Source organism: Homo sapiens, chromosome 10 (genome assembly GCF_000001405.40).
Source record: "Homo sapiens chromosome 10, GRCh38.p14 Primary Assembly".
Taxonomy (NCBI): Eukaryota; Metazoa; Chordata; class Mammalia; order Primates; family Hominidae; genus Homo; species Homo sapiens.
The window spans coordinates 69,316,031-69,342,027 of NC_000010.11; the positions used below are offsets into that span (position 1 = coordinate 69,316,031).

At 50.3% G+C, this 25,997-nt stretch overlaps 1 protein-coding gene across 30 annotated transcripts in view, besides 14 other annotated features; it reads left to right on the top strand.

The window, feature by feature from the left end:
* Positions 1-25,997, top strand: part of HK1 (hexokinase 1) — a 131,883-nt gene that overhangs the window by 46,031 nt on the left and 59,855 nt on the right. For 16 of the 30 annotated variants that reach the window (NR_199805.1, NR_199804.1, NM_001441152.1 and 13 more), the window contains exon 1: positions 2,817-2,980. The exons of 10 other annotated variants lie outside the window; for them this stretch is intronic. Coding sequence is in view for 11 of the 20 variants with exons in the window: in NM_000188.3 (NP_000179.2) it covers positions 2,918-2,980 (63 nt within the window). In the remaining 9 variants the exon portion in view is untranslated. Of the gene's footprint in view, positions 1-2,150; positions 2,206-2,816; positions 2,981-3,033; positions 3,148-18,583; positions 18,894-25,997 lie in introns of those variants that run through there. 4 more of the 30 variants (NM_001322366.1, NM_001441140.1, NM_001441143.1 and 1 more) reach the window with 4 other exon arrangements.
* Positions 1,831-2,060: an enhancer, noted in NCBI's record as "active region_3489". NCBI's record gives its function as "activates an Ori minimal core promoter by ATAC-STARR-seq in GM12878 lymphoblastoid cells {active_cell/tissue: GM12878}" and the evidence as "EXISTENCE:reporter gene assay evidence [ECO:0000049][PMID:35858748]".
* Positions 2,371-3,050: a silencer, noted in NCBI's record as "silent region_2430". NCBI's record gives its function as "represses an Ori minimal core promoter by ATAC-STARR-seq in GM12878 lymphoblastoid cells {active_cell/tissue: GM12878}" and the evidence as "EXISTENCE:reporter gene assay evidence [ECO:0000049][PMID:35858748]".
* Positions 3,351-3,400: an enhancer, noted in NCBI's record as "active region_3490". NCBI's record gives its function as "activates an Ori minimal core promoter by ATAC-STARR-seq in GM12878 lymphoblastoid cells {active_cell/tissue: GM12878}" and the evidence as "EXISTENCE:reporter gene assay evidence [ECO:0000049][PMID:35858748]".
* Positions 4,986-5,902: an enhancer, noted in NCBI's record as "H3K4me1 hESC enhancer chr10:71080772-71081688 (GRCh37/hg19 assembly coordinates)". NCBI's record gives its function as "activates a minimal SCP1, AML or CMV promoter by ChIP-STARR-seq in naive H9 embryonic stem cells {active_cell/tissue: H9 hESC(naive)}" and the evidence as "EXISTENCE:reporter gene assay evidence [ECO:0000049][PMID:30033119]".
* Positions 9,775-10,383: an enhancer, noted in NCBI's record as "H3K27ac-H3K4me1 hESC enhancer chr10:71085561-71086169 (GRCh37/hg19 assembly coordinates)". NCBI's record gives its function as "activates a minimal SCP1, AML or CMV promoter by ChIP-STARR-seq in naive H9 embryonic stem cells {active_cell/tissue: H9 hESC(naive)}" and the evidence as "EXISTENCE:reporter gene assay evidence [ECO:0000049][PMID:30033119]".
* Positions 11,923-12,217: a silencer, noted in NCBI's record as "tiled region #12566; K562 Repressive DNase matched - State 5:Enh". NCBI's record gives its function as "represses a minimal TATA promoter and a strong SV40 promoter by Sharpr-MPRA in K562 cells {active_cell/tissue: K562}" and the evidence as "EXISTENCE:reporter gene assay evidence [ECO:0000049][PMID:27701403]".
* Positions 11,923-12,237: a biological region, named in NCBI's record as "Sharpr-MPRA regulatory regions 12566 and 14132".
* Positions 11,943-12,237: a silencer, noted in NCBI's record as "tiled region #14132; K562 Repressive DNase unmatched - State 5:Enh". NCBI's record gives its function as "represses a minimal TATA promoter and a strong SV40 promoter by Sharpr-MPRA in K562 cells {active_cell/tissue: K562}" and the evidence as "EXISTENCE:reporter gene assay evidence [ECO:0000049][PMID:27701403]".
* Positions 12,837-13,638: an enhancer, noted in NCBI's record as "NANOG-H3K27ac hESC enhancer chr10:71088623-71089424 (GRCh37/hg19 assembly coordinates)". NCBI's record gives its function as "activates a minimal SCP1, AML or CMV promoter by ChIP-STARR-seq in naive H9 embryonic stem cells {active_cell/tissue: H9 hESC(naive)}" and the evidence as "EXISTENCE:reporter gene assay evidence [ECO:0000049][PMID:30033119]".
* Positions 13,639-14,440: an enhancer, noted in NCBI's record as "OCT4-NANOG-H3K27ac-H3K4me1 hESC enhancer chr10:71089425-71090226 (GRCh37/hg19 assembly coordinates)". NCBI's record gives its function as "activates a minimal SCP1, AML or CMV promoter by ChIP-STARR-seq in naive and primed H9 embryonic stem cells {active_cell/tissue: H9 hESC(naive and primed)}" and the evidence as "EXISTENCE:reporter gene assay evidence [ECO:0000049][PMID:30033119]".
* Positions 18,927-19,853: an enhancer, noted in NCBI's record as "NANOG-H3K27ac-H3K4me1 hESC enhancer chr10:71094713-71095639 (GRCh37/hg19 assembly coordinates)". NCBI's record gives its function as "activates a minimal SCP1, AML or CMV promoter by ChIP-STARR-seq in primed H9 embryonic stem cells {active_cell/tissue: H9 hESC(primed)}" and the evidence as "EXISTENCE:reporter gene assay evidence [ECO:0000049][PMID:30033119]".
* Positions 21,051-21,738: an enhancer, noted in NCBI's record as "H3K27ac-H3K4me1 hESC enhancer chr10:71096837-71097524 (GRCh37/hg19 assembly coordinates)". NCBI's record gives its function as "activates a minimal SCP1, AML or CMV promoter by ChIP-STARR-seq in naive H9 embryonic stem cells {active_cell/tissue: H9 hESC(naive)}" and the evidence as "EXISTENCE:reporter gene assay evidence [ECO:0000049][PMID:30033119]".
* Positions 21,739-22,424: an enhancer, noted in NCBI's record as "H3K27ac-H3K4me1 hESC enhancer chr10:71097525-71098210 (GRCh37/hg19 assembly coordinates)". NCBI's record gives its function as "activates a minimal SCP1, AML or CMV promoter by ChIP-STARR-seq in naive H9 embryonic stem cells {active_cell/tissue: H9 hESC(naive)}" and the evidence as "EXISTENCE:reporter gene assay evidence [ECO:0000049][PMID:30033119]".
* Positions 23,113-23,798: an enhancer, noted in NCBI's record as "H3K27ac-H3K4me1 hESC enhancer chr10:71098899-71099584 (GRCh37/hg19 assembly coordinates)". NCBI's record gives its function as "activates a minimal SCP1, AML or CMV promoter by ChIP-STARR-seq in naive and primed H9 embryonic stem cells {active_cell/tissue: H9 hESC(naive and primed)}" and the evidence as "EXISTENCE:reporter gene assay evidence [ECO:0000049][PMID:30033119]".

Consider the following 25,997-nt stretch of genomic DNA (forward strand, 5'->3'; position numbering starts at 1 on the left):
CAGGGAAGGTTGGCAAGCTGGGCCTTAGATGAGAGGGGATGCTTGGTCAGGCAGAGGTGAGTGGAGAAGGCAGGGCAAGGAAGGGAATATGAGCGGCGAACAAATGGAGTGGACATGGTGGGGGCAGAGGATGGTGGGAAGTGGCCTTGTTGCGGCCAGAGTGGAGGAAGAGATAAGTGGGAAAGAGTGGAGTCGATTACAGAAGGCCTCGGAAACCAGGCAGAGATGTTTAAATTGGCTCTCTCAGGAAGGAGAGGGCCATGAAGGGATTTAGGGAAGGGTCATGACATGATTATGCTGCATTTTAGCAGGATTAATGTGACCTGGTGCTCAGAATGACTTGGATGGCATGAGGCCAGGAGCCGAGGAGGACAGTTAGAAGACTCTTGTAATATTTCTGGCACAGGGAGATGGACTGGGAGTTGGGAGGTGGCAATAGGTCAGGCCTAGAGACATTTCTCAGGAAATATTGACAGGCCTTGGGGCCTGGTTGCATTCATGGAGTGGGGAGGAATGAGTCACCTTGAGAAGCAGTTTCCCTCTCAAAGGCCAGGGAAGACAAAGCAGAGGCAGCTTTCCTGCCTGCAAACAGGACATTTCAGGGTAACCTGGCTCTTCCAAGCGTCAGCTTCTCCCTGGCTCCAGCTCAGATAGGAGTTGTAACAACGGGTTGGGCATGGGTGATGGCACCGGCTGGTGGCTGGGTTAAGGGCCATGTTTTTGATTATGCATTAGGCTTATTCAGCCTGCCAAGTGCCAGGCCCTGCGCTTGTGTAGGAGACAGAGCAATTAGCAAAACATAGTCCTCCATCCTCAAGGAGTTTCCAGCCCTGTGAGCTTGGCAGATCTGCAGAACTCAAATGAAATGGCAGTTGAGAACAACCATCTTGTTCTCATTCACTCCATTTTGCTTAACGGCCATGTAGGTAGTTCCAAATGTTTGATGTGTACCAGAAAATCTCTCTCTTCCTGGTTTATAATTATGATCCAGGGCAAATCCAGGTTTTGTTGGGCTTGAAAATTAAATAAATTGGCACTCTCTATGGAAAATAATTCAAATATAAATATACAAATATCACACTGCTAGGCCCTCCCAGGGCCTAGAAGGGTAGGAATGAAAGTGAGAGTCCCTGAAGCTTTAACCGCATTAACTTTTCAGTCAGTTCTATGATACCTGCCATTCCTTAAGTGTGTATTATGTGCACGTATTTTGCGTACAGTATTACACAACAATCAAGGGGAGGTGAGGTGGGCATTAGTGTCTTCATCTTATGGATGAAGACACAGTCTCAGAGGTGATTCAAGATGCCCCTCTGCATAGGCCCTAAGGCAGGGGGTGGGGACTGTGACCTGGACAGGAAGCTGGGGCCTCAGGACTGCATCTAAGCTCCTCCTTTTCTGTGGGTGATGGTGGCTGTCAGGCCCCTGAACCTACGTCATCCCTCCCTCTGATTTGACTGTACCTTTGCTAGGCCTGGTCAAGGGCTAGGGACTCCTAAAGTCAAGAGCTAGGGTAGAGGTTGGGGGTTGGATCTCAGGGCACCATATGGTGCAGACTTGGTTGCAGGAAAGTGACCTATTTAGGCAGAGGGGCTCTATACAACTGGGACCACAGCAAACCCTAGAGGTGAGCACCTGCTTCAAAGACTCACAGATCCAAGCTGTGATCCTAGATCTACAACTTCCTGGCTGTATAAAGTCCAGCAAGACTGAGGCCTCACTGAGCTTCAATTTCCTTACCTGTCTAACCAGAATAGCAACAACTTGTTTGTATATTTGAGCTCATTACATGTCATTTTGTAAGGCACTAAAGCTCCTGGAGGCTTCCGGAACACAGAAATAATTAATCTAAGAATCCTAAAGTGGCTGTCCTGGTAGCACCTCTAGGGAGTCCTCCCATCCTACGTAACTTCCTCTGGGAAAGTAGAAAACACGGCACCTGGGAAGGGGCGCTGAACCGTGCCCCAAGTCCCAGTGGGCCTGGATGCCCAAGAGCAAGAGGAGGCCCAGAGGATGGGGACAGGCCACGACCTGTGGCCCAAGTCCCGCCCAGAGGGAGTGCGCCCTGAGGGAGAGCCACCGGAGCTGGTGACTCGGGGGCGGGTGCTCTGGGGTGTCGCTTTGGGTTCAGCAATACAAATCTGCCAGCTGGAGATTAGGCGGGGCACGCCGGGGAGAGGTGATGCACTGCCGCTGAAGACCCAGGTAGGCCGGTGCGTTCGGCCTGGGTGAGGAAGGCGCGGGACCCGGGTGCGAGGACTGCGTAGCGTCCCCGGCTCCCGCTTCCGCCCGCTTTCCACGCCCACTTCTGCAAGTCCCCTCCGGCACCTCGGCGTCCACCGGACTCCTAGGGGCGAGCCCTCATTTCCGAGGAATGGGACCGCCTTCGTGCCCCCGGGGCTGCCAGTCCCTAGACTAGCCCTAGGGGCTTCTCGTCCCGGCGGAGCCGGGCGGTGCCTCCTGCCTGCGCCTCGCACCTCCCCGCCTGGCACGGCCCACCCGGGCACGGCGCCGCCACGCGTGAAGGCCCGCATCGGCTCCCTACGTGGGGGACGTGCAGGATGATGCGGGGTCGGGGGGGATTTCGCTGCGTCGCCCGCCCCCTTTCCGGCGCAGGAGGGAGCGGCCGCCGCGTCCCCGCTCCCCGGCCGGGACGCCACCGCCGGGCGTTGCAGAGGCGCGCCGCAACCAATGGGCGTGGAGGAGGTGGGTCGGCTGGCGGCTGTCACCCTCCAGGGGACGGGAGCGCGGAGACCGGGAGCGCGCGAGCTGTCGCCGCGCCCCGGGCCGAGGGGGAGGAGCCGGGGGAGGAGGAGGAGGAGGAGCCGCCGAGCAGCCGCCGGAGGACCACGGCTCGCCAGGGCTGCGGAGGACCGACCGTCCCCACGCCTGCCGCCCCGCGACCCCGACCGCCAGCATGATCGCCGCGCAGCTCCTGGCCTATTACTTCACGGAGCTGAAGGATGACCAGGTCAAAAAGGTGAGCCCCCGCCCGCGCCGCCGCTGGTCCTGGCCGCAGCCTTGCGTTCCGGCATCCGCTCGCCGCCTCCGCTGCCTCCATCCTCCGGCGCCCGGCCTTCTCCGGGCCAGCATCGAGTTGGACTGCAGGGCGCAAGGAAAGCCTTCGCCTTCGATTCTACCGGCATTGTCAGTGTCTCTGTGTGTGTGCGTTTTTGGGAGGGGGGCAATCGGGCGGAAGACCCCCGAGACCGGGCTGCCTGCTGCAGTGTCCTTGAAACGGGCCCTGGATGTCAGATAGGCCCCCGGGCTGTGCGGGGAGGTGGCCGGTGGGCCCTTCCGCAGGGCCTGTTCGGGAGGGTCCGAGCGCCGTGGGAGGAGGTGTGATCATGGAGATGCTGGGGAGGTGATCGAGCAGCAGGCGGGGGTGCTGGCTGGAGGCCAGGCCTCCCATATTTGGGGTTCCTGGCGGAGGGTGTCGGGTGCCCCGGAGAAGCTGTCGCCGGGCTCTCCCAGTTGTTTGAGCTGCTCGTTAATCTGAGGACGAGGTGACCCGCCCGGCTTCCCGGAACGGGGAGGGGCGGCGAGGCCACCGGAAACTTTGCTCATAGGCCTCGTGTCTGGAGCGGCACGTCTGAATGGAATTTTTTATTCCTCTTAAGCTGTAATTTCTAGCCAGCACAGGAGCTCAAATAAGCGACTGGTCATTTGAGTTGGGTGGACGCCTGTGGCATGCTTGTTCTAGCACTTGGACGCATGCATCCTCCTGTCCTGAGGTGTTGTTGCCTTTGACATCTTAGTGTAAAATACTGTCCGCTGGCAGGTCTTAAAGGTGTATTTGTCTCTTCTGCCAGCTGTGCTACCATATTTTAAAGAAACAGCCTAAGCTGTAGGGAAAGACGCCCGTTTTATCAGTGCCAGGTCTGGTACAGGCTCCAGGCCCACCCACCCTGAACGTGGTGACGTTATTGCTGGGGTTAGCTGGGATGGACTGGCAAAGTCATCTTGACTTTGGCGTTCAGACAGGTGGAGTTCTACAGGTGAAAGGCAGGAGTGACAGGCCTTGATTTTCTGCCCGGCAAGCCATAGGGTGTTCCATCCTCTTCCTGTGCATCTAAGATGACTCCCTCATCTGGCACCATAGGAAACAGGCCTACTGAGGGCAGCGACCTTATCAAGGTCACCCAGTGAGTTAGAGGCAGAGCCAGTCAGGGGGATCCAGGTCTCCCAGTGCCTCCACCCAGGAACTTCACCAGGGTCCTCCTGGAGGTCAGCTTCCAGGAGGGAGTGGGTACTGAGAGACAAAGCCGCTGGGGACCCTGCCGTGATCTTGGATCCCATGGTGGGTGGGGACCGGGAGTGAGGTAGGTAGGAGATAGGCTTGGGAATGCCATCTGCCATTGCTCTTTATGGCTTTAAGCACTCTGGGGTTGTCAAACCGTGGCACTCGAAACACTTGCTCCTATGGAGCACCCTGGAGCTTCCCTCTGGCCACTGACCTGGGAGCTGTGCGTGCGGGTGTGTGCATTTCATGAGTTTTCTCTAGTGGTGTTGTGCATCACTGATGTTCTTCCCATTGGACCAGGGAGACAGTTCTCCCGGCATGGCAAGAAGTGCCCAGAACAGGCCTCCTGAAGCCAAGAGTTCACTGTCCTCCTGCACGTGGTGTCCTTTATAGCTCAAGACAGTGGGCTGCTGGGCTGGGGGGTGCCTGGGTGACCTTGTAAACCTCCAGTGTCCACACCCACCACCACCCACAACAGACTGCTGGCTGTTGGCTGCCGGTGGCCTCCAGCAGCTGAGCTGGGCTGAGGTTTGGACTCCATTCAGTGGGACATGTTTTCTCAGACATACAGTGTCTAGGGTGGGCCCAGAGCTCTCCACTCCTGTGGGTGGCTCAATTCACATCTATGGATGCACAGTCTATCTCCTAGGCCCCCGTAGGTACCTGAGTGTGTGATTCAGTTGACCCTTCCATCCCTCCTCACTCCGAGTTTGGGATTCTGATGTTCTTCCCTTCTCTTCCCCGAGAACCTTGCTGGAGGAAGGTCTTAAGGCCAAGGTTTCCACCAGATATTATTTGTCAAGGAGATTCTTAAAAACAAGATGTTTGCTTGCATTTCACCACGGACTTCCTATGCTGCTTTCTATAGGGGAGTACGTGGATTCCTGCCAGGGGGTCCACTCATTTTGCATAGTGGACTGTGTGGCACAGCCATCTGTGGGTGTGGTCCTGGCTATGATTGCGCCACCGCACTCCAGCCTGGGCCTTCTAAGGACAGTGACATAGTGGGTACTTGCTCCAGTGACCTACTCAGTTTTGCCCAAGTGTGCAGATGCTGGGGACCACATCTGCTCTTCTGGGGCCCAGGATTTCTTAGAGACCAGCTCTTTCCACGTACCACTCACCATAGGAAAGGCTAGGTGAAGGTGCGGGACCCCCTGTTCTTCCTGTGGGGCTGGACTCTGCCTGCCTCCCAGCAGGGACCTGCTGAGGATGGTTCCCCCCCAGCGTGGGCAGCCATGATGATTCAGCCCTCCAGCTGTAGGCAGCCTCCGGGGCTCTGGAGACAGACCTGGCATCCCTCAGTAACTCTCATCTATCTTCTTGCCCTCAGAGCCAGAGGTAGGAGAAGGGAAGCTGGGGACCATGCCGGGGAAGTTTTTGGGATTGCTTAGAATCCAAACGTGATCATGAAAATGGTGTCATTTCTTTCTTCATTGCCTATGAGGCACATCAATAATTCAACTCCATAAAAATATATCCTGGGTTGAAACAGTTCAGGTGTCTGACTTCCCAGCTTGGAACCCCATTATCCAGACGGCATCTGCATAAATTGGTTAATGGGTGCTGTTGAAGAGGGTGTACTGGCATTAGGCTGAGCTAAGCACAAAACACATATATTCCTTTCACTCTTCTAGTGCCTGTAGGAGGAAAGGGAGGCATATGTGTGCTTGTGAAGGATTCCATTCATCAGAATCCCAGACATCTGCCAGTTCTGCAGCTAGAGGCTGGGTTCTTTGACCTCTAAGTAACTTTAAACACGCATCTCATCTCGCCAGCTTCTTCCACTCGGTTTAGCCATTAGGAGCTTGGAGCAGGGTGAAGGATTGCATAGTGCTCTGTTTGTTTAGAAAGGGAAGATGGGTCCAGGAAGGTCAGAACTTGGCTTCTAAAGAAAGATTAGACTTCCTTTCCTCCAGGCTTGTCAGAATGGTGAGCAAATGCCAGTGGATTTTCTCTGGGCGAGATCCCCATAACGCTAAGTGATTTCCACTAGTAGGTGATCATGAAAAGGGTGTCATTTCTTTCCTCATTGCCTTGAGGCACATCAATAATTCAACTCCATAAAAATATATCCTGGGTTGAAACAGTTCAGGTGTCTGACTTCCCAGTTTGGAACCCCATTATCCAGACGGCATCTGCATAAATTGGTTAATGGGTGCTGTTGAAGAGAGTGTGATTTGTCCAATGGCCGAACTCAGGAGTCCTTGAGTACTTGACCCAGGAAGACAGGGGAGAGTAGGCTTAGCAATTAAAGGGTTGCCCAAGGTACATTCCTTAGAGCCTATGTGTTCCAGCTGCAAAAGCAAGCATTAAAAATAAATAAATAAATAAAAGGCCGATGTAGTGGCTCACACCTGTAATCTCAGCACTTTGGGAGGCTGAGGCGGGTGGATCACCTGAGGTCGGGAGTTCGAGACCAGCCTGACCAACATGGAGAAACCCCGTCTCTACTAAAAATACAAAATTAGCTGGGTGTGGTGGCGCATGCCTGTAATCCCAGCTACTTGGGAGGCTGAGGCCGGAGAATCACTTGAACCTGGAAGGCAGAGGTTGCGGTGAGCCGAGATCACGCCATTGCACTCCAGCCTAGGCAACGAGAGCGAAACTCCGTCTCAAAAAAAAAAAAAAATGCCCATTCATTATTGCTCAGGGGTGAGAGAGGTGATAGTTAGAAAATTGTGAAAAATCTGGCTGGGCACAGTGGCTCATGCCTGTAATCCCAGCACTTTGGGAGGCTGAGGCAGGTGAATCACGAAGTCAGGAGTTCAAGACCAGCCTGACCAATATGGTGAAATCCCGTCTCTACTAAAAATACAAAAATTAGCTGGACGTGGTAGCATGCACCTGAAGTCCCAGCTACTCGGGAGGCTGAGGCAGGAGAATTGCTTGAACCGGGGAGGCGGAGGTTGCATGAGCCAGGATCATGCCACTGCACTCCAGCCTGGGCAACAGAGCGAAACTCTGTCTCAAAAAAAAAAAAAAGAAAATTATGAAAAATCTGTGGGTTCTTGCAGTGGCAAAGAAAAAAAAGAAAAAATTATGAAAAGTCAGCCTGGGCAACAAAATTAAACCTCATCTTAAAAAAAAATTTTTTTTAGCCTGCTTTGGTGGCATGCACACACCTGTAGTCACAGCTACTCAGGAGGCTCATTGAGCCCAAAAGATTGATCCCAAAACAGTGAGCTGTGATGCTATGATTGTGTTACCGTACTCCAGGCTGGATGATAGAGCGAGACTCTGTCTCAAAAAAAAAAAAAAAAAAAGAAGAAAGAAAATTATGAGAAGTGTCTCATAACCTCTCAATTCTGATGTTGTACAAATATTCAGTGAGAGCTTCTTGGTGAATCTTGACTTTATAATCCCTGCCTTTCCTACCTTAGATACTCCTAGGGTTTCTCCCAAGAGAAGCCCCATCACTTTATCTGGTTGGATAGTTTGGGAATGTCATGAAGGAATAAACTGGCAGGCAGGGTGTCTGTGAGGTGCTTTCACATCTGGCCAAGCTGTGCCATGCTCCCACGCTCCTACTGTTCTCCGGAGAAGACATAGGCAGCTTTCCCCTTACAAGACTGATTTGGCATGACTGGGACTGTCTGTGTGTGTCTGCAGTCAGGGATTCCTGGCAGACAGATTTAGCCACTGGAATCACCTCTGAGCATGCCTGAGAAGGTCCAGGGAAGACATGGATAAAGACAGGGAGCTGTATACCTCTGCATCCAGGAATCAGTTGTGGTCAGACTGCTGGCACCTGCTTATGGATTTGTTTTTATTTTTTTATAGAGACAGGGTCTCACCATATTGCCCAGGCTGGTCTTGAACTCCTGGGCTCAGGCAGTCCTCCCGCCTTGGCCTCCCTAAGTATGCTTATTGATTTGAAAACCCTGAAGATCAAATCTGATCACAGGAGCTCAATCATTTCTTTAAAAAATGTTTGATTTTTTTATTATGTGCAGAGGACTGTGCTAGGCTGGGGTGACAACTATAAACAAGGCAGAAACGGTCCCAGTTCTCATGGAGCATAAAATATTTGCTGGCCGGGCGTGGTGGCTCATGCCTATAATCCCAGCACTTTGGGAGGCCAAGGCAGGCTGATCATTTGAGGTCAGGAGGTCGAGACCAGCCTGACCAACATGGTGAAACCCCGTCTCTACTAAAAATACAAAAAAGGTGCCAGATGTGGTGGCTCATGCCTGTAGTCCCAGCTTCTCGGGAGGCTGAGGCAGAAGAATCACTTGAACCTGGGAGGCGGAGGTTGCAGTGAGCTGACACTCCAGTCTGGGTGACAGAACGAGACTCCATCTAAACAAAAATAATAATTAAAAAAAAATGAAGTATTTGCTGTGTTATATGTGCAAAGCATATGGGCTATGAGGGCCCACAGCATGGTGTGGTCATACCTTGGGTGGGAAATCCCTAGGCTAGGAACTGCTTACAGCTAGGCTGCAGATGTTAGCTCCTTAAGTGCTTCAGGAAGCTGCTCCCATCCCCAGTTCTGGGGATGTGTTAGTCTGTTTGGAGTAGCAGGACAGGTGCCCACTGCCTTCTGGCCTAATAAACCTTAACAACGGGATCTTTTGCAACCACTTAATATACACTGGGTTGTGTTCATTGTATTTGATCTTAAAGAAAAATAGGTAAAAATTTTACAGTTTGATTGGTCTTGATTTCTGGAAATAACATTGACTTCTGGTAAACAGTACACATCAGGGATATTATACTTAGAAACTTTGTAAGGTGGAGTCAAAATTAATTGTCACAAAAATGTGTATTTTTTTTTTTTTTTTTTTTTTTTGAGATGGAGTCTTCGCTCTGTTGCCCAGGCTGGAGTGCAGTGGCACGATCTCAGCTCACTGCAAGCTCCGCCTCCTGGGTTCTCGCCATTCTCCTGCCTCAGCCTCCTGAGTAGCTGGGACTACAGGCGCCTGCCACCACTCCCGTCTAATTTTTTGTATTTTTAGGAGAGACGGGGTTTCACTGTATTAGCCAGGATGGTCTCGATCTCCTGATCTTGTGATCCGCCTGCCTCGACCTCCCAAAGTGCTGGGATTACAGGTGTGAGCCACCACACCCGGCCATGTATTTTCTTATTCTTTTTTTTTGAGATGGAGTTCTGCTCTGTTGCCCAGGCTGGAATGCAGTGATGTGATCTCGGCTCATTGCAACCTCTGTCTCCTGGGTTCAAGCGATTCTCCTGCCTCAGCCTCCTGAGTAGCTGGGATTACAGGCACCAGCCAATGCTCCTGGCCTGCATTTTTTTTTTTTTTTTTGAGATGGGGTCTCACTCTGTATCCTGGGTTGGAGTGCAGTGGTGTGATCTCAGCTCACTGAAACCTCCATCTCGCGGGTTCAAGTGATACTTCTGCCTCAGTGCCCCCCCCTGCCCCCCAGTAGCTGGGATTACAGTCGCCTGCCACCATGCCCGGCTAATTTTTGTATTTTAAATAGAGACTGGGTTTCACCATGTTGGCCAGGCTGGTTTCAAACTCCTGACCGCAAGTGATCTGCCCGCCTTGGCCTCCCGAAATGCTGGGATTACGGGTGCCAGCTACTGCCTCTGGACTGCATTTTTTTTTTTTGAGACAGAGTCTTACTCTGTCGCCTGGGTTGTAGTACAGTAGCACGATCTCACCTCCCTGCAACCTCTGCCTGCCAGGTTCAAGCGATTCTTCTGCCTCAGCCTCCCTAGTAGCTGGGATTACAGGTGCCTGCCACTACACCCAGCTAATTTTTTGTATTTTTTGTAGAGACGGGGTTTCACCGTGTTGGCCAGGCTGGTCTTGAATTCCTGACCTCGTGATTCACCCGCCTCGGCCTCCCAAAGTGTTGGGATTACAGACGTGAGCCACCGCGCCTGGCCGCTTTTTTTTTTTTTAATGGCTTTTTGTCTCTGGGCATCCTGGAACACTTCGTGAGTGTCATGTCGGGTATGAATTATATATATATGTAATTGAGATTACACTATAAATGTTTCTGCACACAACTATACTAACATATGTGTAGGTGTGTGTATGCTTTCATATGCTCTTTCAAAAGCCTCAGCGAGGTTGTCAGTACAGGAAGTATTATTCCCGGGCTTCCCAGCACGGCTCCCTCCCCAGGGCATCCTGCTGCCTGCCTTGTGTGTTGCAGACAGAAGGCAAGCAATTTATTCCCCATTTAGAAACAGAGACTGAAGGCCCATCCAGAGGAGATAAAACATTTTTCTAAGGTCGAAAGAAAATCAGGAATAGGATTCAGAGGGCTCTTCTTGCTTCCTCTGTTTCCTTCTTTTAGGAGAAAAACCTGTCCTTGTTGATTTTAATGTTTTACCTTGGAACCTGTATTTTAATACTGTCCCCTCACAAATCAATACATTTGAGTTAATTTTTTATTATGAAATATTTGAGGCACATAAAAGAAGATTGAGGTTCACATAAACACCTCTGAGTCTGCTACTCAGCTTGAGAAGTTATAGACACAATTACAATTACATTACAGACACAGTTGAAGCCCTTTCTATGCCATCTCTGAGATAGTTTGCTGCTTCTCCCTTCGGAGGTGACCTCTGTCCTGAATTTGGTGTTTATCTTTTCATGCATGTTTTTACGCTTTTATTACATATGCATATGTCTATAAACAGTATATGGTATTGCTTTATAGATATATGGTTTTGATCTTTTGTAAATGGTGCTATACTGACTATGTGTTTAAGCAATATATGGTATTGCTTTGTGTGGTTTTAAACTTTTTTTTTTTTTTTTTTTTTTGAGATGGAATCTCATTTTGTTGCCCAGGCTGGAGTGCAGTGGCACGGTCTCAGCTCACAGCAACCTCTGCCTCCTGGGTTCAAGCAATCCTCCTGCCTCAGCCTCCTGAGTAGCTGAGATCATACCTGGCTAATTTTTTTGTATTTTTAGTAGAGACGGGGTTTCACCATGTTGGTCAGGCTGGTCTCAAAATCCTGACCTCAAGTGATCCACCTGCCTAGGCCTCTTTCCAAAGTTCTGGGATTATAGGCCTGAGCCCCCACACTCAGCCAGTTTTAAACTCTTATAAATGGTGCTATACTGTATGTATCCTTCCGCCATTTACTTTCTTTTAGCTCAACATTGTATTTTTGAGATTTTAAAAATGTTGATCTACGTAACTGTTTCATTAAACTGCTCTGGTTTCTTACAGAGTATAAAAGCTCCCTAGTTAATTCATCTATTCTGCTTTTGATAGGCATTTGTGTTTCTAATGTTTCAAGTGACAAACAATGCCTTGGTGAACTTTCTCTAGAACAACTCATTCAGCGCATGCACAAGTTTCTCTAGGCTCTAAGCTGTGTACCTAGGGCTGAGATCACCAGGCGGAGAGATGTGTGCGTTTTCCCATATACGAGATTCTGCCAAGTTGCCATCCGTGGTCATGCCAGTTCACACTCCCATCGGAAGTATGTGCAGGTTGCCTTTGTTCCACACCAACCCTTGTTATGGTCAAACCTTTGCAAATTTGTAATAGATGAGTTTTAGTCTGTTTCCTTCCTCAGTTGTTTCCATTCACATCACAGTATTCGAGCTGTGTTTAAAATTAGCCCATTTCCTGAGTTACCTTATCAGAGTCCTTGCTTCAGAGTCCCACGGACTGAAGTTGACAGCTCCATGGACTGCTGCTGCTGAGATATCTGCACTGGGGAGGGATAGTTGATGCAGGGAAAGGCTTAGGATGGCTCTCCATGGCCCCTGGTGCTGTGGGCTGACTCCGTTAAGCTTTTCTGGGAGTTGAAACACACATTTGTGAGCTTTCACTTGCACACACTTTCTCTCTTCCCGGGTGGATCCGACCCGGGTAGGGCAGGCTTATCTGTTGCGTAAATGTGCCCAGCTCTGCTCAGAGAAAACTCAAGCCAGCAGCCTCTCAGACCGTCTTCCGTAAAAGGAGAGGGTGGCTGTACCCACGTGGCAGGGAAAACTGAACCGTGAAGTCGGCGGCTCAGCCCTTTGCACACAGAAGCTGAGCTGTCCCTGTGCGAGGCAGAAAATGTCGGCTCATGTTCATCTTGAGTCTATGCCTGATTACAGGCTCCAGACTCGGAGACCTCGAGGGTGCCTTACAGGGAAGGGGGCATTCAGTGCCTACTAGGCGCCCGGCTTTTCTTTTTCTTAGCAGGGGTCTTATTTAATCATTTCTAGTACTCATATGAACCAAAGCCAACATTCATTGTTGTATTCATTGCCATGTACTGTGCTAAAGGCATCGTGAGCCTTTGCTTAGTTCATCCCCACAACGCCCTTGTGAGGTGGGTGTGATTTCAGACGGTGAGGCCCAGATAGTGAACGATAGAGCCAGCATTCAGCCTCATCAAGGCTGATGGCAGAGCTCCTGCTTTTATTATTTTCTCAATTGAGTTATAATTCACCTACCATGAAACGCATCATTGTACAGTGTACAATTCAGTGGTTTCTAATAGATTTACAAGGTTGTCCGAGCACCATCACCATCTAATTCCAGAATATTTTCATCACCCTCCGAAAAAAACTACCCGTTAGCAGTCACTTCCCATTTCTTCCTCCACCTAGCTTCTGGCAACCACTATCTACCTTTTTTTTTCTTTTTTTTTAAATGGATTTGCCTCTTATGGACATTTCATATAAATGGAATAATATAAAATGAGGCTTTTTGTGTCTAGCCTCTTTTATTTAGCATAATGTCTTCAAGGTTCATCCATGTAGTAGCATGTGTTAGCACTTCATTCCTTTTTATTGCTGAATGCTATTCCATTGTATTTATCTACTACATTTTGTTTTTCCATTTGTCAGTTGATGGGCATTTGGACTGCTTCCACTCTTTTCGGCTGTTATGAATAATGCTGCTCTGAACATTTGTGTGTGAATTTTTTTTTGTATAGACATGCTTTCTTTCTTTCTTCTTCTTTTTTTTTTTTCAGATGGAGTCTTGCTCTGTCACCAGGCTGGAGTGCAGTGGTGCAATCTTGGCTCAGTGCAACCTCTGCCTCCCGGGTTCAAGTGATTCTCCTGCCTCAGCCTCCCAAGTAGCTGGGACTATAGGCGCATGCCACCATGCCCAGCTAATTTTTGTATTTTCAGTAGAGACGGAGTTTCACCATGTTGGCCAGGATGTTCTTGATTTCTTGACCTTGTGATCCACCCACCTTAGCCTCCCAAAGTGCTGGGATTACAGGCGTGAGCCACCGCGCCCGGCCAGACATGCTTTCATGTCTGTTGGGTGTATATGTAGGAATGGAATTTCTTGGAAAACCCCTGCTTTTAATCGATTTAAGGAGGAAGGCATCAACTCCATTCAGAAATGAGCAAACGAAGGCCCCCCAGGTGGTGAATTGACTTTCTGATGACCACACAACTCATGAATGACAGGGATAGGAACACTACTGCTGGTCCCCTGATTCAGAAATCCATGTTCTTTCCACCATTACACCCAACTCTCATTGTGCAGTTTAGGGAAACAGATGCAAGGAGGGAAAGACTGGGGTGGGAGAGGGGTGGAATTGGCTTGGGATCCTCCAGGTTCCCTGCCCCCCATCTCCTGCCCCTCCCCAGCACCAGCATGGTGTCTCCTGCCTGTGCCTGCTGCCTCACCCCCAGCCCCATTTGCTTAGTGTTGATGAGCCCCTTCCACTTGGGAAGGAAATGGATCCGATAAGGTCATTAACAGTGAAATGTTAGGAATTTGCCCTGTTTTTCAAATCTCCCTTTTCATTTGTCTCCCTCTCCCATTCTTGTCTGCATTTAAAAGAGGACCCCCCAGGAGGGCAATGCTTAACCTGCATGAAAACCCCCTCAATGCTCCTTGCGATGCCCACTCCTGGCCTCTGCCTGGGGGTACTGTAAGCAGCTGTCGATTCCATCAATTGATTGACACATGGGGCTTGTCTTCAGCCATGTTATTCACCCAGACCTCATGTCCCTGATGTCTCCTGGTGCCTTCTAGGACCCTGTCTGGGTGGGTGTGGTGAGTGAAGTAGGAGACCCAGGCTACTGCTGTGATAAAGACACCACCTCACCTTTACAAAGTTCTGTTTCATTTATAAAATACTTGATTTAATCAGATGCTTACTTTAGTTGGATCTTTCCATCAAGCTTGGATGTAGGAATTTCTTCCTGCATCTTACATATGGGGCAGGTGAGTCCCAGGAAGTGGAATTCATGTGATCTCGGTGGCCAGAAAGCAGAAGAGCTAGGATGGGTACACAGACCTCCCTAACGCCAGTGGGCAATTCTTGCAGTACCTGCAGAACCAGAACGGTGGTCCAGGGCTCCAGACTCCAAAGCCATTGATGGGGTTCAGGACATACTATCCCCAAATAGTAATATGGCATTTGAGAAAACAGCAGAAGCAGGAAGGTCTCTCACCTTTCCCCTCCCTTCTTCCCTGATGCAGACTCTCATTCAAGAAGGTGTCTACCTTATACCCAGAAGAAAGGGACATCCTTATCTCTGGAGATACAGGGACACAGAGAAGAACAAACAGGGCCTGCCAAGTTCTCTTCAGTTTATCACTATTAGATCATATCCCCTTTCTCCAGTCACACTTCTTCACGATCATCCACTTCTTCATCAAACCTGACATAGGGAAATATGCAGACTTACCTGTTTCTTTTCTTTTTTTCTTTTTTTTTTTTTGAGACAGTTCTCGCTGTGTCGCCCAGGCTGGAGTGCAGTGGTGCAGTCTCGGCTCACTGCAGCCTCCACCTTCCTGGTTCAAGCAATTCTCCCACCTCGGTCTCCTGAGTAGCTGGGATTACAGGCATGCGCCACCATACCTGGCTAATTTTTGTATTTTTGGTAGAGATGGGGTTTCACCATGTTGACTAGACTGGTCTCGAACTCCTGGCCTCAAGTGATCTGCCCGCCTCGGCCTCCCAAAGTGCTGGGATCACAGGCATGAGCCGCCACGCCGGGCCAGAGTTACCTGTTTCTTTGGACCTTCATTTCCTTATGAAGGCTTCTGCGTCACCTAAAAACTTAGATTAATTTGTATACATTGTTCTTGTTACTCTGTCTTTTGTTATAGGGGCCTCAGCCATAAACCTAAGATGGGAAGGAAGGATATTTCTTTTCAGCTACTGCGTGTTCTACATTTCAGCGGCCTTCTTCATAGAAACTGTCACCCAAGGCTCTGATAATGGAGATATGTCAGAAATGCTGGGGCTGTGTGTCCAGAATAGTAGGCGCCAGCCATAGGTGGCTGTTGAGCTCTTAAAATGTAGCAAGTCTGATTTGAGATGTGCTGTGGCATATAAACTCCACACAGGTTTTCAAAAATTTCATGTGACACAAAGAATATGAAATAGCCCGTTAATAGTTTTCTAATATTGGCTGGGCATGGTGGCTCACACCTGTAATCCTGGCACTTTAGAAGGCTGAGGCCAGAGGATCACTTGAGCCCAGGAGCTTGAGATCAGCCAGGGCAATATAGCGAGACCTCATCTCTGCAAATAATTAAAAACGTCAGCTGGGCATGGTGGCACACATCTATGGTCCCAGCCACTTGGGAGTCTGAGGTGAGAGGATTGCTTGAGCCCAGGAGGTCAAGGCTGCAGTGAGCCATGATTGGAGTGCACTGCACTCCAGCCTAGGTGATGGAGCCAAGACCTTGTCTCAAAAAAAAAAAAATTTTTTTTCTGATATTGATTAGACATAGAAACAACATTTTGGATATACTGGGTTAAATAAAATACATTATTTCATTTGGGAGTCTGAGGCAGAAGGATTGCTTTGATTGTTTGAGGCTGCAATGAGCCTTGATTGCACCACTGCACTCCATTCTGGGTGACAGAGTGAGATTATCTAAAAAACAAAATTAATTTCATCTGTTCTTTTTAAATGTGGCTAGTAGGAAACTTAAAATTGCATATGTGGCTCATATTATCTTCCTGTTGGACAGTGCTCTGCTAGATGGTAAATTCCATGGCTCAGGAGTTTGCACTCTGCATTTAAAGCAGTGGGTTTCTGGGCATCCTTGGGCCTCAGTTTCCTCATGTGTAAGCCACAGTTTCCTCATCTGGAATCCATTATCTCGAAAGGACCCATCCAGCTTGAGCAGTATTGTGAGGTGACCATCAAGTTCCCTAGGCCTCATTTTCTTTCTTTCTTTCTTTCTTTCTTTTTTTCTTTTTTTGAGACAGACTCTTGCTCTGTCATCCAGGCTGGAGTGCACTGGCGCAATCTTGACTCACCGCAACCTCTGCCTCCCTGGTTCAAGCGGTTCTCATGCCTCAGCCTCTCTAGTAGCTGGGATTACAGGAGCGCCGCACCACACCCAGCTAACTTTTTTTTATAGTTTTAGTAGAGACGGGTTTTGCCATGTTGGCCAGGCTGGTCTTGAACTGGCCAAGTGATCCACCCACCTCAGCCTCCCAAAGTGCTGGGATTACAGGTGTCAGCCATTGTACCTGGCCTGGCCTCTGTTTCATCTGTCAGATAAGGTAAATGATTCCTGCCTTGTTCTCTGCCCCCACTTTTCAAATGAGAGAATGGACGAGGAAATACTTGGAAAGTGTACACAACTGTACAAATGCCAGGTGTTATCATTGTCACTCACCCAGCTCACACCTGTAGACACCTTGAGTAGCCAAGTGGAGGACGGCAGCTTCCTGGCTAACAGAGTAGGCAGACAACAGAGCCCTGAGCCTGGGCAGGGGTCCTGAGTGCCATTCTGCCTTTGCCTTGGATTGTGTGAGAGCTCCTGGACCATCTGCATGTCTGTGTGCCCTGGCCAAATGGACAGATGAAAATGACACCATGGGCTGCTGAAATGCCATGTTCTGAGGACTCTAAAGTGTCATGGAGCTCCTGTGTATGGTATGTGAGGCCAGAAGGCAGATTTCATGATTGCTGTTTTACTGATGGAAATACACAAGAGATCGAAGTGACTTGCTCAGGGTCATAGAGGGAGGCAGTGCCCATGGCCGAGGCCTGAGGTCTTTCGATTTCTAGCTCAGTCCAGTCCCACCACTGCAGTATCTCCAAGCCACAGCATTGGGATTTGGTTGTCTCACAGTGAAAGTAAACCTGTCTGCACTCAGATCCTTTTCTCCCTGTTGTCGGGAGGTGCTGGGACAGTGGGAATTGTGAGACTGGAGGTCCAGAGGCTGGCTGTTTGCTAAGCCATCCACCAGGAGGCTGAGAAGTAAGCCTGTTGTGCCTGCCCTGCCACATTCCAGGGCTGTTCTGTTCTCCCCGAGGGAATGGGGGCCTGCTTTATTTTTAGCTAGTTCAGTGTGACAGCCTTGTTCTCTTTCTGGGCAAGGACTTGGCCACTTTTACCAGTCAGGAAGCTCCCTTTAGAACCTCCAGGCCCTACTCAGGTTCTCCTAGGAAGAGGGGGCCAAGGGAAGGGGAGCTGAAGTTGGAGTGCCGCTCTGCTTGCTGGGGGCCTGGGGCATTTGGCTTAACTGCACAGCCCTAGGTTCCACCTGCCTCATGTGGGGTTCATAACAGCTACCTTACACATTGTGCAGATTTGGATGGAGGAGCTTAGAGCACCCAGCGTGGGCCCTGTCCACATTCACGTTGCTAGAACGTCAGTTTCTTCATCAAGAATGGGGATCCTGGCTGGGCGCAGTGGCTCACGCCTGTAATCCCAGCACTTTGGGAGGCCGAGGTGGGCAGATCACAAGGTCAAGAGATCAAGACCATCCTGGCCAACATGGTGAAACCGTGTCTCTACTAAAAATACAAAAATTAGCTGGACATGGTGGTGTGCGCCTGTAGTCCCAGCTACTCAGGAGGTTGAGGCAGGAGAATCGCTTGAACCCGGGAGGTGGAGTTTGCAGTGAGCTGAGATTGCGCCACTGTACTCTCCAGCCTGGTGACAAAGCGAGACTCTGTCTCAAAAAAGAAAAAAATGGGGATCCCATTTTCCTCATGATTTGTTGTGCGTAAACAGAGTTCATTGAAACAGAACCAACAGTTTACACATGCTGAGAGACACATATGAACCTGGAAGAAGAGACCGGGCAAGGCTGTGTCCCCAGGATGGGGTTTTTGAGTGCCTGAGGGATGGTTTTGGCTTTGGTGATGATCTCACACAGACCTGTCACTGAGGAGCCCTGCGGTGGAATTGATTATCCCAGACACAGTTCCTCTGGTAGCTTGCAGGTGACTCAGCTTGAATATGGGAGTGGGAATCCCGATTATCTTTAGGCCCCTCTGTCCCTCTGGGCCTCAGCCATGCAGTGGTGAAGTGCTGAGGGGAAGGCAGGGGTTAGAAGTGCCTGGAACTCTGTACCTTAAAGTGAGAGGCCGCTGCCGGGGGAGAAGGGCTGGGCCATTCGGGGAAGTCTCCGGGCCTTATCTGAGCCAGCAAACCCTCTGAGACCTCCCTAGGCTAGTCATTACTGGAGGCCTCCCGCCCAGCACAGGAGCCACCCAACCTGGCCCAGGAGCCACCACGTGGTGCCTCCTAGGGCTCCTGGGCACACAAAGGGCCCAGAGGGCATGGCTCCTGTACCCCTGGCACTCACGGTCTAGCTGGCGGTGTGGACCATGCATGTGTCCCTGCAACGCCCAGGAAAGACACACACCACGAAGTGTCTCCCAGGCAGATCGACTCCTACATAGTGAACACCTAAGGCCGAGGGGATGCTGAGGAGAGGAGTGGACGGTGTGGGGTGGGGCGGATCATGGCATGTGCTCCTGAGAAGGTGAGTTGGGAGGTGAGCTTTGGGAGGAAGAAGGAGCTGGGGACGGAGAGGCCCAGGAGGCAGACTGGACGGGGCTTGCGAGGAAGGACCTTTGAGGTGATGAGCCACCATCAGGGTGCTGGGGGTTAGTGGTTGCTTTAGGGACCCCACTAGATCAGGGCTGCCTCCCCTCGTGGCCATTTCCCTCCCTGCTCAGAGACCGGCTGCCGAGAGCAGGACAGAAACTAGGTTCCCGGCTGCCACCCACACTACTGAGGTGGGGCTGGGCAGCCGCAGAAGCCATGTGCAGTCAGGAAGAGGAGTCCGGGGCTGCTGGGCGGGCACAGACCACGGTGCGGGCCCAGGCTCTCAGCTTGCTATGGCTGTTGAACTTCCTTCCCAGACTGTGTGAAAGGGGAAGGAGCAGATCGGACAGCTTGTTGTGGCTCTGATCCCAGCTGGAGGGGAGAAGAGGCCTCCTGGAGGTCACACTGGAGTGGCGTGCTTTTGGCAAGGCCAGGCAGCCATGCTGTTCTTGGGTGGCTGGAGCTGTGGCGGTGATAGCCCCTGTAGTACCGCATCTCCCTCTCCAGGAAGCCCCTGGCCCTGGCTCTCCCTGGACTGAGAGGATAGAGCACAGGACCAGGAATCAGGGAGCTTGCTGTCCACCCCAGTCTCTGCAAGTATGTCGCCCTGGCCAGTTGAGGAACCTCCTGGCCACTCATTCTTGCCCAGGGTGTTGGAAGTGATGGTACCTGCTCTGCTTCTGCAGACAGGATGCTGTAAGGACCAACAGGTAAACGCGCTGTGCCAATTAGAGAGGCCTTTATAGGTCAAAGTCATAGGAACGCACCCACTTGACAGATGGGAAGACTGAGGTGCCCACAGGATGGCAGAGCCAGAAGTCAAATGCAGGTGTCTACATGGCCCCGACTGTGCCCTGTCATCGGACCGGGAGGGGTCCTGAGGAAGTCTTTAGTACGGCTTTGCTAGTTTGAGTCTTAGAGAGTGTCTGCAGGAAATAGGAAGCGGGAAGTAGGTTTTTAAAGAAAAAAGTGTTTATGATATAATTCCATTTTTGTAAAACAAAAAGAACCATCCATCTCTTTATGTATGAGTGTTTGTTTAGGGAGGAAGATAGTCCTAGTACATAGAGCTCTAAAGTCCTTGTACATAAAGCAGGGATATCTCTGGGGAGACTGGGGGAAGAATTAATAATTTTTACTTTTATGCATTTTTATGATGTTGGAATATATTTTACAATAAGTATATATTACTGTTATTGCTTCTTTTTTGTTGTTTTTTTGAGATGGAGTTTCGCTCTTGTTGCCCAGGCTGGAGTGCAATGGCGTGATCTCGGCTCACTGCAACCTCCGCCTCCTGGGTTCAAGTGATTCTTCTGCCTCACCCTCCCAAGTAGCTGGGATTACAGGCATGTGCCACCAGGCCTGGCTCATTTTGTATTTTTGGTAGAGACAGGGTTTCTCCATGTTGGTCAGGCTGGTCTTGAACTCCCGATCTCAGGTGATCCACCAGCCTCGGCCTCCCAAAGTGCTGGGATTATAGGCACGAGCCACCGCGCCTGGCCTATTATTGCATCTTTAAAAAAAAAAATGAAACAGTGTAAATGTTTCAAGTAGTTTTGTTAGAATCTTTCATTTGCCATTTTTTTCAGGCATATTGCCTCCCAGCTTTAGTTTTCTACCAATGGGTCAATAGCATTTTGGTAGATGCCTTTTTTTTTTTTTTTTTTTTGAGATGGATTCTCGCCTTGTTGCCCAGGCTGGAGTGCAGTGGTGCAATCTCAGCTCACTGCAACCTCTGCCTCCTGGGTTCAAGTGATTCTCCTGCCTCAGCTTCCCAAGTAGCTGGGATTACAGGCATCTGCCACCACACCCGGCTAATTTTTTTTGTATTTTTAGTAGAGTTGGGGTTTCACCATGTTGGCCAGGCTGGTCTTGAACTCCTGACCTCTCAAGTGATCCACCCGCCTCGGCCTCCCATAGTGCTGGGATTACAAGCGTGAGCCACCGTGCCTGGCCGGTAGATGTATTTTTCAGGCATTGAGATGAAAGGAGTTAGGGGTACATGATTATGTCACTTAGGGATGGGAGGGAGGGAAATGACACTTGATGCTTACTTTGTTTCTGCACATTAAAATCCTCCCCATAACCCTCTGAAGTGGAGGATTTATTATCTCCATCTTAAAAGTGAGACTCAGAGAGATTAAGTAACTTGTCCAAAGTCACACAGCTAATAAATCGGATTTGAACCCAGCTCTCTGTCCACAGCCCTGTGTACTTTCCACCATGTGAGGAAAATGGAAATGCTTAAGGTGAAGCCCCAAATGGGAGGTTACGAGCCCTGGAATCTAGACCCAGCTGCCATTTCTAAACTCCCCAACTTAGCTTGAATCATGGGTCTGTTTCCTCTCCTAGATAATGGAGATAATGATGTCTTTCCTGCCTACTTCACTGGGCTGCAGTGACAGGAGAAAGGGAACTAGCATTAAAGCACCTGCTTCCTGCGTGGCACTTGGCATCCACAAGCTCATTTCACTTCTTTCTACACAGTTCAAATGGGATAATGTATGTGAAGGTCCTGTATCTGAAGGGCCAGTGCACATGTGAGCCATTGCTAATTGTGATGTTAATAAGCACCCAGGACCCGTTCTCTCTGAGTCAGTGTCCTTAGCAAAGGGAAGTGAATTCTGATGTTGAAATCTCTGTCCTCCCCTAAGCTAACATCTTTCTTAACCCTTCAGGGTGCACGCCACAATTTCCTTTTGTAAGTGGAGCGCCTTGCTTGGAAAGTTCATTTTAAAGGCCTGCGTCAGCAGCTTCAGTCACGCCTGCTGTTCTGCAGCATTCTCGATCCTCACGGGAGGGTGGATGAGAGAGGGAGTGAAATTTTCCATGGCTGTGCACCCTTCCACGGGGTGGGGTGAAAATGGCTGGGATGGTTACCAGTGGTTACTGGTGCCTCCTGCTGCGACCGGCCTGTTCACTTGGGCATGTCCAATCTTGCGTTTGTTTTTTGTGCATGTTCTGTTGGGAGCAGGAGGTGGGGCTGGGGTCGGGCACAGAAATGTTTGTGAGTTGATTGCAGTGCTAGGCCATTGAGTTCTTTCCTTGGTTGGAGGGCTCTGAGCCAGGGAAGCTTGGCGAGGCTGTGTGTTCTCTGCTGATGACATGTCCTCCTGCTCTGCGGGGGTCCAACTTTGGGAGCCGCTGAGAGCTTCAAGGCCCCCTTGGTCCACAAGAAGGAGAATCCAGGACAAGTGTCTGGAAAGTGTTTGAGCAAGAGCGCCCGCCCTGTGCAGCCGGTCTGGCTACCCTCATAGGAAGGGCTCTTCACTCTGGGCAGCGGTGGACAGAGGCCCTGGAGGCTGGATGCGGGTTCTCAGGCAAGAGTCTGAGGGACCCAGCTCGGTGTCTGATGTCTGGTGTCTGGGACTGGGCGCCTTCCCATTTCCATCCCAGCCTGACCAGACTGACCAGAGTCCCACATATTCGTCTCAGACACTGGTTTGAGAGGGAGCATTTGAGGGCCTGGGTTTCTGTCATGACTCCTGGGAACCTCTGTCTTCTGATAGATGGTCCACAGACCGAGGCTTGCAGTGGAAGCAGCTGGAAGTGGTGCTGTGCGGTGTCCTCCCCAACTCCCAAATGGAGTGTGGGGAGGGATTCTTCGGGCACTGATGTTTGGCTGGAGCAGTAAAGCAGCGGTGATGTGGAGGCAGCACCTAAGAGAAGGGGACAGGATTATGGAGATGTGAGTGTGTGTGTGTGTGTGTGTGTGTGTGTGTAAGTACTTGTGTGTGTATGTGTGAGTGTGTGAGAGTGTGTGTGTGTGAGAGATTGTGTATGTGAGAGTGTGTGTGTGTAGAGAGAGAGGGAAGAGGGGAAAAGGAAGGAGGAGAGTAAAGATCTGGAGATGCTGTGGAGAGGAGGACAGAAATAGAAAAGTTGAAAGGCCAGACTTTGGCCAAATCCCCAAAGACCAAGAGTCAGCCTTTCTTCCTGGGTTTCTGGCAGAGATCTGGAGCAACTGGGCAGGAGAGATTTCTCCAATGCCCTTTCTTCCTCCCTCTCTCCTTCAACCCACTGCCCATTCCCAGCCTCTTTCCCAGGGAGACAGGCGTGGTCCAGTGGAGTGCCAGGAGGGGCTGGTCTGAACGAGGAAGATGCGTTTTGCTCAGTGAAGTGCTGGGTTCTCTGGGCCCCTGGAAGTTTTCTGCAGGTGTCTCTAGTCATGTGCTTTTCTCCAGTGCCTCCGGGCCACTTAAAGGCCCACAGTCCAGAGGGGCATGTCTGCTGAGTCCTGCACCAGGTGCCTGCCTGGCTGGGCAGTGTGGCAGATACCAGGGAGCTGACTTCTCCCCTGGCAGCCCAGCCCCAGGCCTAGGGTATTTGCTGGTTCAGTGGCCCCTTCTGATCTCCCGAGGACCAGTGGAAAGAAAGGGCTTCCCTTCATTGTCCTCATTCATGTAAAATCCAGGAGGCCCCAGTTTCAGTTCCGGCCTTGCCTCAATTGGGCCTCCCTTTTGGCCCCAGTATTCATGTCTCTTCTGAGAGGGGTTGTACCTCATGACGACTCATGAACCTGAACAAAAGGAGGAAAACCCTCCCTCCATAGCAGCTTGAGGACCAGGCCGTTCTCTGTGTCTGCAGCCTGCTTTTTGATTTGAGCTTCTAAGCTTTATTTGGATTTAGCTTGGTTGTCCTGAAACGTTGGGGTTTTTGGATCAATGTCTGTGTGCTGAGCTGCACCTTGACTTAGAAGGCAGGATAGCTGTGGAGTTATGGAGAGCTGCCTTTTCTAGAAGCTTCTCCTGTCCAGCGGGAAAACCCCAACAGCTCTACTTGGATCTGCCTTCTGCAGAGCAGGGGACCAGTCTTTCTTAAGGGGCAGGGATGATTGTATGGAGGAGCCTTAGACTTGCAGGTATAAAACCTCACTCCCCCAGCTGTGTGCTTTGAACTAATCACTTAGCTTCTTGGACCATCAGTTTCTGTGTCTGTAAAATGGGGATTAAGAACATCTCCCAGACAGTTTTGAAGGTTAAATGACATACTGGATCTTGATATACTGATATACTGTAAGCCACAAGAGAATTATATAGTATTATTCCAGGATCCAGCATTGTTTGAATTCCTCCTTTGTGTCAAGCAACTGGGTGAGTTCCAAAGGTCTATTCAATATGTTTTCTTTCCCTGGGGAACTCACGCAGTATCATAGGAGATGGACAGCTTGGTAAAAGGATAATCATGATGTGTGAGGAGTGTGGTCGTTGGGGCGTGTCCAAAATGCTGGAGTAGCAATGTACCTTTTTTAAAATTAAAATTAAAAAAAATTTTTTGAGATGGAGTCTTGCTGCATTGCCCAGGCTGGAGTGCGATGGCGCGATCTTGGCTGACTGCAATCTTCTCTACCTCCTGGGTTCACGCGATTCTCATATCTCAGTCTCCTGAGTAGCTGGGATTACAGGCATGCACCACCATGCCCAGCTAATTTTTGTATTTTTAGTAGAGACCGGGTTTTACCATGTTGGCCAGGCTGGTCTTGAACTCCTGACCTCAGGTAATCCACTCGCCTCGGCCTCTCAAAGTTCTGGGGTTACAGGCATGAGCCATTGCTCCCGGCCTTAAAATTAAAATTAAAAAATATTTTAGAGGTGCGATATCACTATGTTGCTCAGGCTGGTCTTGAACTTTTGGGCCTAAGCAATCCTCCTGCCTCGGCCTCCCAAAGTGCCAGGATTACAGGCATGAGCCACTGTGCCAGCTAGCAATGTAGCTTTTATTGTATGATCTTGCGCTTGCTCCTCCATTCTCCACGCAGCAGACACACAACTCTCATCATGGTTGTAATCAGTAAAGCCGTCCCAAGGCTCGCTGTGCTGTGGGATCCCGCTTGTATTTGTTTATGTGGCTCATCAGGCCCTGTGTGGTTGAGCTCTGGACAGTCTTTCCAGGCACACCGTCTGCTTGTTCATCACAAAAACCACCCTCCCTCCCCTTCGGACTTCACACATGCCCTTGCTTGTGCCTGGGCATGCTCTCCAACTTCGCCTCTCCAGGAAGCCTTCTCTCCCATGCTTGCAACGTGGCTGTCTCTCCCTGCAGACCCAGGGCACTATGATGGCAAGGGCTGCTGATGAATGCCACCAGCCAGAATAGGGCATGGCTTGTCTCTCCTCCCAGGGCCATGTTTTTGGCAATTTTATTTCCTTTAAAAAATATATATACATATTTCTTTCTTTCTTTTTTTTTTGGAGACTGGATCTAAGTCTGTCACCCAGGCTGGGGTACAGTGGCAGGATCATAGCACCCTGCAACCTCTGCTTCCCCAGCTCAGGCAATCCTCCCGCCTCAGTCTCCCGAGTAGCTGGGACTACAGGGGCGTATCACCACGCCTGGCTAATTTTTGTATTTTTTTAGAGACGAGGTTTTGCCAAGTTTCCCAGGCTGCTCTCGAACTCCTGGCCCCAAGCAATCTGCCTGCCTTAGCCTCCCAAAGTGTTGGGATTACAGGTGTGGGCCACTGCTCCTGGCCAATTGTTAATTTTTTTTTTTTTTAGAGACAGTCTCACTCTGTCACTTAGGCTGGAGTACAGTGGTTCAATCATGGCTCAATGCAGCCTCAACCTCTTGGGCCCAAGTGATCCTCTTGCCTCAGCCTCCCGAGTAGCTGAGACTACAGGTGTGCATCACCATGCTGGGCTAATTTTTATTTTTTGTAGAGACAGGGTTGTTGCCCAGGCTAATCTCGAACTCCTGGGCTCAAATGATCCTGCTGCCTTGGCCTTGCAAAGTTCTAGAATTACAGGTGTCAGCCACCATGCCTGGCCTCTTCTGGCAATTTCTATTCTGGCTCTTGGTGGTTCCTGATTGCCCTTCTTTGAGCTGCTTTATTGTAAAGGGAAAAAGGTGGTAGGGCTAGTGGTTAGGAGTGGGGGCAAGGATCATCCTTGGGCGCAGAGAGTGTTGGCAGACATTTTGGGAGGCCTAGGTGGGTGGATCACTTGAGGTCAGGAGTTTGAGACCAGCCTGGCCAACATGGTGAAACCCTGTCTCTACTAAAAATACAAAAATTAGCAGGGCGTGGTGGCGCACGCCTGTA